The 10,863-nt window shown below is 49.9% G+C and overlaps 1 protein-coding gene across 2 annotated transcripts in view; it reads left to right on the forward strand.

The window, feature by feature from the left end:
- IQANK1 (IQ motif and ankyrin repeat containing 1) overlaps positions 1–10,584 on the forward strand; it is a 56,507-nt gene extending 45,923 nt beyond the window's left edge. The window contains exons 8-14 of one of the 2 annotated variants that reach the window (NM_001381874.1): positions 8,854–9,002; positions 9,128–9,182; positions 9,375–9,467; positions 9,700–9,808; positions 9,910–10,003; positions 10,076–10,210; positions 10,289–10,584. In NM_001381874.1, coding sequence (NP_001368803.1) covers positions 8,854–9,002; positions 9,128–9,182; positions 9,375–9,467; positions 9,700–9,808; positions 9,910–10,003; positions 10,076–10,210; positions 10,289–10,547 — 894 coding nt within the window. In that variant the 3' untranslated portion in view covers positions 10,548–10,584. Of the gene's footprint in view, positions 1–8,853; positions 9,003–9,127; positions 9,183–9,374; positions 9,468–9,699; positions 9,809–9,909; positions 10,211–10,288 lie in introns of both variants that reach the window. The other variant, XM_017014127.2, reaches the window with a different exon arrangement.

The following is a 10,863-nucleotide window of genomic DNA, read 5'->3' on the forward strand; positions in this document are numbered from 1 at the left end:
CAAAGGAAATACTCATGTAGTAACTACCTGACTCAAGAAATAAAGTATCGCCAGAACACCACACCTCTCCCCAGATCATCATATCCTGAATTTTATAGTGCTTGCTTCCTTCTTTTTTTCAAGTTACAAAACTTTCCTGAAATATGTATAAAGTTCCCAGTTTAATCCTCTCAACAAACCTGATTGTAGTATTATTAATATTCCTACATTATATACAAAGACTTTATTATATACAAAGAAACTTAAGCACAGAGATGTTAAGTCATCTTTTTTTAACTTTTCTTTTAGGTTTGGGGGTACATGTGAAGGTTTGTTATGCAGGTGACATAGTCATGGGGATTTGTCGTACAGATTATTTCCTCACCAGGAACTAAGCCCAGTACCCAATAGTTTTCTGCTCCCCTCCCTCCTCCCACCCTCCACCCTCAAGTAGATCCTAGTATCTGTTGTTTCCTTCTTTGTGTTCCTAAGTTCTCATCCTTTAGCTCCCGTTTACAGGTGAGAACATGTGGTGTTTGGTTTTCTGTTCCTGCGATAGTTTGCTGAGGATAATGGCCTCCAGCTCCATCCATGTTCCTGCAAAGGACATGATCTCATTCTTTTTTTATGGCTGCATAGTATTCCACGGTGTGCATGTACCACATTTTCTTTATCTTGTCTGTCACTGATGGGCATTTAGGTTGAGTCCATGTCTTTGCTATTGTGAATAGTGCTGCAGTCAACATATGCGTGCATGTGTCTTTATGGTACACTGCTTTATATTCCTCTGGGTATATACCCAGTAATGGGATTGCTGGGTCCAATGGTAGTTCTGCTTTTAGGTCTTTGAGGAATTCCCATACTGCTTTCCACAGTGGCTGAACTAATTTATACTCCCACCAACAGTGTGTGTGTGTTCCCTTTTCTCCACAACCTCACCAGCATCTGTTATTTTTTGACTTTTTATAGTAGCCATTCTGGCTGGTATGAGATGGTGTATCCTCATTGTGGTTTTGATTTGCATTTCTCTGATGATCAGTGATATTGAGCTTTTTTTCATATGCTTGCTGGCCACATGCATGTCTTATTTTGAAAAGTGTCTGTTCATTTTCTTTGTTCACTTTTTAATGGGGTTTTCTCTTGTAAGTTTGTATAAGATCCTTATAAATGCTGGATGTTAGACTTCTGTCAGATGCATAGTTTGCAGATATGCTCTCCCATTCTGTAGGTGGTCTGTTTACTTTGCTGATAGTTTCTTTTGCTATGCAGAAGCTCTCATGTTTAATTAGATCCTACTTGTCAATTTTTGCTTTTGTTTTGATTGCTTTTGGTGTCTTTGTCATGAAATTTTTGCCCGTTCTTATGTCCAGGATGGTATTGCCTATGTTGTCTTCCAGGGTTTTTATAGTTTTGAGTTTTACATTTAAGTCTTTAATCCATCTTGAGTTGATTTTTATGTATGGTGTAAGGAAGGGGTCCATCTTCAATCTTCTGCATATGGCTAGCCAGTTATTCCAGCACGGTTTATTGAATATGGAGTCTTTTCCCCATTGCTTGTTTTTGTCAGCTTTGTTGAAGATCAGGTGGTTGTAGGTATGCAACCTTGTTTCTGGGCTCTCTATTCTGTTCCATTGGTCTATGTGCTTGTGTAGTACCATACTGTTTTGGTTACTGTAACCCTGTAGTATAGTTTGAAGCCGGGTAACACAATGCCTGCAGCTTTGTTCTTTTTGCTTAGGATTGCCTTGGCTATTTGGGCTTTTTGGTTCCATATGAATTTTAAAATAGTATTTTCTAGTTCTGTGAATAAAATGCTTGGTATAATAGTTTGATAGGAATAGCGTCGAATCTGTAAATTGCTTTGGGCAATATGGCCATTTTAATGGTATTGATTCTTCCTATCCGTGAGCATGGGATGTTTTTCTGTTTGTGCCTTTTCTGATTTCTTTGAGAAGTGTTTTATAATTCTCATTGTAGAGATCTTTCACCTCCCTGGTTAGCTGTATTCCTAGGTATTTTATTCTTTTTGTGGCAATTGTGAATGGGATTGCCTTTCTGATTTGGCATTCGGCTTGGCTGTTGCTGGTGTATAGGGATGCTAGTGATTTTTGTACATTTATTTTGTATCCTGAAACTTTTCTGAAGTTGTTTAGCAGCTGAAGGAGCTTTTGGGCTAAGACTATGGGGTTTTCTGGATATAGAATCATGTTGTCTGCAAACAGAAACAGTTTGACTTCCTCTCATTCTATCTGGATGCCTTTTCTTTCTCTTGCCTGATTGCTCTGGCTAGGACTTCCAATACTATGTTGAATAGGAGTGATGGGAGAGAGCATCCTTGTCTTGTGCCAGTTTTCAAGGGGAATGCTTCCAGCTTTTGCCCATTCAGTATAATGTTGGCTGTGGGCTTGTCAGTGCTTACTTTCTTGCTTTTCTTTTTTTCTTTTTCTTTTTTTTTGAGACAGAGTTTCGCTCTTGTTGCCCAGGCTCTGGAGTGCAACGGCACAATCTTGGCTCACTGCAACCTCCGCCTCCCAGGTTCAAGCAGTTCTCCTGCCTCGGCCTCCTGAGTAGCTGGGATTACAGGCACGTGCCACCATGCCCAGCTAATTTTGTATTAGTAGAGACAGGGTTTCTTCATGTTGGACAGGCTGGTCTCAAACTCCTGACCTCAGGCATCTGCCCACCTCGGTCTCCCGAAGAGCTGGGATTACAGATATGAGCCACCGTGCCTGGCCTCTTGCTTTTCTTTATTCCATCATTAAATCATCCCTCCTTTATTCATTCACTTTGTCATCCACTTACTCATTCATCCATTCATTCCTAAACATGAGTGCCTAAATAATATAGCTTTGTTTCACTGTGTTTGAGCTTTATGTAAATGAATTTATATGGCAGCTGTTCTTTGGTATCTGGCTTCTTCTATCACAGGCTATATTCGTGAGATTCAGTCTTGTTGCCTGTAGCTAAAGTTCATTTACTTTCATTGTTATGGAGACTTTAATTATATAAATGTCTGCAATATATTTACCATTTTACTGCTGATGAACGTTCAGTTTGTTTCCAGGCTTTGGTTATAATGATGCTGCTATGAACATTCTTGTATGTGTCTCTTGGTACATATGTGCACAGTTTTCCAAAATGGTTGTACCAGTTTATCCACTCCCACTGACAATATGTTATAGTCCCACTGCCCCATGCTCTCCCAGACATTGTGATTGCCAGTGTTTTTTAATGCAGACTCATGGTGGATGTGCCGTGGTGCCTCACTGCAGTTTTACCTTGCATTTCCCTGCCAACTAATGAAGTTGAGAACTCTTAGGCATATTAGCCCCTTAGCTATCTTTTTAAAAGTAGTACCTGTTAGCATTAGTGACCACTTTTCTCTGGGTTGCCTGATTTATTTTCCTTATTGCTCTGTGGACCTTATTTATATATTCTAGATCAAACTCCTTATCAATTACATGTATTATAGGTGTCTTCTGTCTTACTTGCCTTTTCACTCACTTAATGTTATAATTTGATGGAAAATTTTGTTTTACTGTAGTAAATTTTATCATTCTTTTCCTTTATGGTTGGTGCCTTTTATGTCAGTTTAGAAGTCTCTCCATCCTCCCAAGGACATAAAGATATTTTCTGGTGCAGTCTTCTACATCTTTCACATTTAGAGCCATCATCCACTAGAATAGACTTCTGTGCGTTGTTTTGGTCCTCCTTGTGCAAGGTCATGTTCAAGCTTGTTTATTTCTCATATGGATGCACAGTTGTCCTGAGAGCACCCACAGTCTTTGTGAAAGACTGCCCTCCTCACTCTACACCATCAACTGTGCCCTAAGTCAAGTGTCTATATACTTATAGCTCTGTTCTGGGATCGCTGTTCTGTTCCATAGGTCTATTGATCTATCCTGTGTCAATACCCATGTCTTGACTACAGCAGCTTTATAACAAGTCTTGTACCAGATAAAAGCAAGTCTTCCCACCTTGTTTTTCTTCATGCTTGGGTTTTGGAAAGTTCTCAGTCATTACCTCTGTTTCTGCCCTTATTCTCACTCTCCAAATATACAGATGGTAGATCTCACCATAGCCTCTACATTTCTGTATCAACCAGGATAGACTAGGATGTTGCTATGTTTTGGATCTATGTCCCCACCCAAATCTCATGTCAAATTGTAATCCTCAGTGTTGCAGGAGGGGCCTGGGGGGAGGTGATTGGATCACGGGGGCTGATTTCCCCATGGTCTTCTCACAATAGTGAGTTCTCATGAGATCTGGTTGTTTAGAAGTATGTAGCACCTCCCCCTGCTCTCTCTTCCTCCTTCTCTAGCCATGTAAAATGTGCCTGCTTCCCCTTGGCCTTCTGTCATGATTGTAAGTTTCCTGAGGTATCCCTAGCCATACTTCCTGTACAGCCTGCAGAACCATGAGTCAATTAAACCTCTTTTCTTTATAAATTACCCAGTCTCAGGTAGTTCTTTTTAGCCATGTGAGAATGGACTAATACAGATGTGCTGTGGAACATGCAGTCTCCAAATCTCAATGGTATAAAACAAAATGAGTTTATTTTTTACTTATGCTACATGTCCATTGAGGGTTAACAGGGGGCTTCTGCTAACTGTAGTCTGTTAGGGACCCAGGCTGACAGAGCAACCACCATCTTGAATATTGCTGGTCAGTATACCAGAGGGAAAGAGCTGAGGAGGGTCTAGCACAAACACTTCTACTTATAGCTCATTGGTCAGATCTAGTCATTTGGCTCCACCAAAACCACAAATTGGTCAGGAAGTGTAATCCTATACTATGTCTAGAAGGTGGAAGGACGGACATGTTTGATGATCAGCACTAGTAACTTACCACAGTTTTTTTACCCTCTTTTCTGTATTTTCCATCCTTTTGTTTTGAGTTTATTCTGGATATTTTCTTGTGACATGTCTTTCAGTTTACTAATTCTCTCTTCAGCTGCATCTAGCTAGTTATTAAATCCATGCACTTTGTCCTTAATTTTGGTTATTTTAATTTTCATGTCTAAAATTTTATTTGGTTCCAGCTCTCTGCTAAAATCAATCTAGTCTCTCTTTGAGCACAGTAAATATAGTTATTTGAAAATCTGTAGCTAACTCTAATATCCTGATCCCTTGTGGAGCTATTTCTATCATTTGTAGTTTCTGCAGATTTTTGTTTATATTGCCTTGTATTTTCCTGTGCCTTTGTTCTGTATCTTTTTTTTTTTTTTTTTTTTTGAGACAGAGTCTTCCTCTGTCACCCAGGCTAGAGTGCAGTGGCATGATCTCAGCTCACTGCAACCTCTGCCTCCCAGGTTCAAGCGATTCTCATGCCTCAGCCTCCCGAGTAGCTGGGACTACCAGTGTGCAGCACCACATCAGCTCATTTTTGTATTTTCAGTAGAGATGGGGTTTTGCCATGTTGGCTAGGCTGGTCTTGAACTCCTGACCTCAAGTAATTTGCCCATCTCAGCTTCCCAAAGTGCTGAGATTATAGGCGTGAGCTACCAGACCCAGCCTTTTTTATTTTTTATTTTCTTTGAGACAGGGTCTTGCTCTGTCACCCAGGCTGGAGTGCAGTGGTGTGATCACAGTTAACTGCAGCCTTGACCCCCTGGGTTCAAATGATCCTCCTGCCCCAGCTTCCCAAGTAGCTAAGACTACAGGCTTGAGCCACCATGCCCAGCTATTTTTTTTTTTTTTTCTCTGAGATGGAATCTTGCTCTGTCACCCAGGCTGGAATGCAGTGGCACGATCTCAGCTCACTGCAACCTCCACCTCCCAGATTCAAGCAATTCTCCTGCCTCAGCCTCCCAAGTAGCTGGGATTACAGGCACGCACCACCACACCTGGCTAATTTTTGTATTTTTAGTAGAGACGGGGTTTCACCACGTTGGCCAGGCTGGTCTCCAACTCCTGACCTTGTGATCTGCCTGCCTCAGCCTTCCAAAGTGCTGAGATCACAGGCGTCAGCCACCGTGCCTGGCCTAATTTTTTTTATTTGTTTGTAGAGACAGGATTTTGCCATGTTGCCCAGGCTGGTCTTCAACTTCTGGGCTCGAGCAATCTGCATGCCTCAGCCTCCCAAAGTGCTGGGATTACAGGCATGAGCCACCTTGCCTGGCCATGTCATACGTTTTACTGGTAGGAATCATTTGAAGCCTAGAAAGGTATTTTTCACTCTTTTTTCACTGAGGATTTAGGTTTTGCCATGTATTGGGGGTACCAGCGGTCTGGAGTCACTTCACCAACTTCAGAGATTAAGATGATTTGAAGCTAAGCTGAAGTCAACCTCACTCGGAGGCTACTGTCCTTAGGACCCCAAAGTGAGGATCAAATTTGCATATTCATAAATTCCTTCACTCACCCACCCACGTTTATATTTGCAAATTTATATTTACAAATATAGACAGAATCATTGATAAATGTGCAGAAGAATGTGCATAAATGAATACATCTATATAGTCATCTCTCCTATGTGTTTACCCATTTATCTGTCCAAACAATCAGGTATATGCTAATGTACGAATTAGCTCATCCGTTCATGATTAGCCCAGCCACTGGACCAACTGACAGAAGACCTGAGCTGGGAGCTGTTCTAGGTCCTTAGGACCCATCCTTGAACAAAACAAAGTCCCTTCTGTCACAACTCACAGTGCAGTGGAGATGCCAGGCTACCAGGGCGGGCAGGGCTGGGCTGGAATTTTAAGAAAGGTGGCCAAGGTGGGGTTTGCTGAGAAGGTGGCATACAAGGGAGAACTTGGAGGGGAGGGAATGAGGGCTGTGAACGCCTGAGGAGCTTCCAGACAGGAGGACTGGCCAGTGTAAGATCCTGAGGGGGACAAGGAAGGAGCCCCTGTGGCTGCCAGGGAATGAGGCACAGAGGCTGGAGGATTTGGGGGCTGATCGAGGAATACAGGACCAGGAGAGGGCGGTAGCACGCAGTGAGCTTTATTCTGGTGGCACTTGGACAGGTTTTCACGGAGGGCTTGACGCCTAGGGGAAACTGCTCAGAAGCAGGATGGGGCACCAGGGAGCTCCAGAGGGCAGCCCAGCCTGAAGGCTTTTGTAGCCCCAGGGTTTGTCTCATCCACCACTGGCAGACGTGGGTTCAGTTTTGCAGGGTATTCAAAGCAAGCAGGGTCGGTCTAAATGTCTAGAAGTATGCATATTTGGGCTCTATTTAAAGCAAATGTCTGTGTAAAATTTTGATTTTGGCCCTGGTGGGCTTTGAACTTTTGGTCCTAGCTGCTGGGAAGCAGATAGCACAGGGCAGTCCTCAGGCCGTGGTTAGCCTGTGGATCCATCAGGTGGCCGTGGAGGTGAGTTTACCACGTGTCTGCATGTCCCTGGCCCCCCACAGACCTGCAGGCCCCCTACACTGCCCCTTCTTTCCATCTCTGCCCCCTGCATCTGTAGACAAATGCTTAAGTCAGCACCGACTCAGCCAGGATGGCAGTTACCCAAGGCCACGCCGCGCCACTGCTTCTCTCCCTCTCGTCTGCTGTGTCTCCCTCCCTCCCGTGCATCTGTGAGTTCTTCCCAGTTCTGCCCACATTCAGTCTCCCTGTTTGCACTTGTCTGTGGCCAGTCTCCTGGAAGAGCTACAGGGAACTCATCCTGCCCCCGCTCTTTCCCCTCATCCTGTCTTCATCCTTCCCATGCCACGAACCCCTTGCTCTGTGGGAACGCCGGCGGCTCACCCGCGCACCCCACCTCCTTCCCCTCATCCTGTCTTCATCCTTCCCACGCCACAAACCCCTTGCTCTGTGGGAATGCGGCCGCTCACCCGCGCACCCCTAACGCAGTGCCTTCTGCTTGCTCCATGGCCCGTGCCTGTCCACCTCCACCTGGCCCCGTCGCCAGGCCTGCCACACCTTCTCGGTCTGCTCTTGGTTGTGGCACCCACCTTCAGCCACCTGCTCTTCTTCTCCCAGGCCTCTGCTCTCCAGCCAGCAGCTCCTCGGGCCCCGACTGTTTCGCAGGCCTAATTCCGAGTATGAGAGTCTCCCTGCCCCACCCGGCCCTTCTCAGCTACCGCCTTGCCTCCTTCCGCTGTCATCCAGCTATTAGGGAGCTGGCCACACTAGACAACAGGCCCTGGTCACCCCTGCTTCCCAGAGCAGGAAGGGGCAAGTGGCATTCACACACGGAGCCACCCACGAACAGCTTCCTGGTCAAGCGTGATGCCGGGACTGGCCCGCCACCAGGCGCATGTGGACCTGCTCTGAGCTCCTGCTCTTCCTTCCTCCTCACTGTGACCCCCTCCAAGCATCACCCCTGCTCCACAGACAAGGAGGGCCAGGCACAGGAAGTCAGGGACTCACCCGGCGCAGCTGGGCTTTGAGCCCGGCTCTCTGCACCCACTCCTTGCTCCTGGAGTGCTGGGGACTCAGGAGGGTGAGAGGCAGCGGCGGCCCCAGGGATTGTGTCCTGCAGGCAGAGATCTGTGGGAGACCACAGAGGAGGGAGCTCCAGTGTGCACATCCTGCGGGCCAGCCTCCTACTCAGGAAGCAGCAGTGGCACCCAAGGCCTCAGGCGTGTACTTGAGTCTGACAGAGGCGGGAAGCCTGGGCCAGGTCCTGGGGGACTGAAGGGGAAGGAAGCCCTTGGAGGCCCAGCCACAGGAGCAGGTTCCTGCTTGGACTTGGTCAGGGAGCCCAGGAGAATTCCCAGCGGCCTGGGTGGCCTGGGCTTTGGGGACAGCAGCCCCACAGGGGCTCATGCTTTGGGGCCCACCACGCACCAGCTGTGAGCACTGAGGCCCTTTCTGCATAATGGCACCCTTTCTCCCAGATGGGAGAGCAACAGTTCCTCTCCAGGCTGAGGAGACTCGGAACACGCACTGAGGGCCCGACAAATGTCGTCTGTCACTAGGTGGCCTCACTGGACACAGTGGTGAGCGTGCTGCGCTCGTGGGACCTGAGCCTCACGGAGGCCATGCTCCAGAACATGGAGGCTGAGCAGCAGCGCCGGGCCCAGGAGGCCCAGAGGCACAAGGAGGCCGAGGCTGAGCGGTGTGGAAGGCAGGAGGGGTGTGGGAGGTGCTGGCGAGGGGTGCTGGCAAGGGGCGCTGGCAGGGAGCCCGGGCAGGGGGTGCTGGTGGGGGCGCTGGCGGAAGCCTCTGTCCCAGCTCATTCCTGCTCCTTAGTATGACCCTCAAGGTCCAACAGCTGACCAGGGAGCAGCAGCAGTGTCACAAGGAGGTGAGTGTGACCTCAGGGAGGAGCCAGGAAAGGAGGAGGGAGAGCCGGGTGGGGAGGAGGGGGAGCCGAGGGAGGGCCAGGAAGCTGGGGGAAGAGCCAGGAGGGGAGGTGTCCTCAGGCCCCTGGGCCAGGAGTGACCTGGTCGGAGGATACTGGCCAGCCTTGCCAGGGCCTGCCCGTACGCCCACCCAGCTGCAACAGGCCTACTGTGAGCTTAGCCGGAGGATCTCAGAGCACGACCAGTGTGAGTGGAGGTGCATGGACAAGACCAAGCTCACGCTGCAGGTGGGGGCCCGTGGTGGACTTGATATGCCCCTGCGTCCTCAACACCCCTCCTTGTTCCAAACCAGCCCAGAGCTCCCCGCTCCCAGGCCTGGGGTTTTTCCCTCTCAAACATGGGGAGTCACCAGCCGACAGTGGCCTGCTTGGGGTGGGGTGGGGAGGAAGCTCGGGCAGCTGCCCTCTCCAGCCAGAGCATGGGGCAGGGCAAGCAAGTCAGTGTGGCCTCCTCCTCCAGGCCATCAAGGACACAGAGGCCCAGGTGGACAGGCTGCGGCAGGAGGCCCAGAAGGCCGAGGAGGCGCTGGCTATGGCCAGGCTGGAGCTTCGGGAGCAGACGCAGGAGGGTGGGCCTGGCATGGGGCGCCGGCTGGGGGCTGGGACATACAGCCCAGGGCGGGGTCCGGCGTCGGGCTTGCCTGTCAGCTGCACTCTGCTACCCCGACAGGGGAGGAAGAGGCGCCTGGGCTGAAGTGCCAGGTCACCGAGCTGCACGATGTGCTGATGAAAGATGTAGGCAACCGCATCCGTGCCGATGGCCGGTCAGTTCTCCGGGCCAGACGTGGGCGATTTGGGGTTTGGACAGACAGCAGTGACCTGATGGGTGTCCCCAGGTGGCCTCTTGTTATTGACCCTTTGGGCCAGGCGGCCACCTTCCTGCGCTACCAGGATACCAACTATGTGGACACGGTGAACCCGGAGCCCCTGAGGCCGGAGACGATGTGGCTGGCTCTGCTGGGGGCTCTGCGGTGAGGCAGGCAGGGTGACAGGTACACCCCACCCCACCTCCCTAGCCCCACCCTGGCCTCACCAGCCTCATGGGGCAGGTATGGGAAGCCGCTGGTGTTCGACCTGCGAGAGGAAGACCTGTTCCCAGTCGTGCAGCGGCAGCTGGAGGCGGTGCAGGAGAGGTACCTGTCGCTGCTGCGGCCCACGGACGGGCCTGAGTATAGCCCCACGCAGTTCCAGGAGCAGCGGCTGGAGCACTTCCGCCTCTTTTTCGTCACCAAGGTCCAGTGGCCGCCAGCTGAGCAGCTGCAGGTGCTGCTCCCAGTGCGCGTGCAGCTGCCAGGCACAGGCCTCTAGTGCTGGCCCCAGTCCCAATAAAACGTGTGCCCCGGGGCGCGGTGCTGCATCTGTGCTGCGTGCGTGGGGGCAGCGGTGGCGTGTGCCAGTCCAGGACTCCGGCAGTCCCGGGCCCCGGCCGGCGGACATGGGTCTGCAGGCACTTGGGGGAGGCCCTGCTGGGGATGGGCAGCCTGCCCGGCCGACCCGTGCGCAGTGAGGCGCAGCGGGAGACGTGGGAGGGACGGTGAGGGTGCAGCCCTCGGAGCTCAGCCTCGCCTCGGAGGGCAGGAAGGGTCTGTGCTAGTGGGTGGGGGATGGACAGGCAGACGGGAGG

The sequence above is a fragment of the Homo sapiens genome, chromosome 8 (genome assembly GCF_000001405.40).
Source record: "Homo sapiens chromosome 8, GRCh38.p14 Primary Assembly".
Classification (NCBI taxonomy): domain Eukaryota; kingdom Metazoa; phylum Chordata; class Mammalia; order Primates; family Hominidae; genus Homo; species Homo sapiens.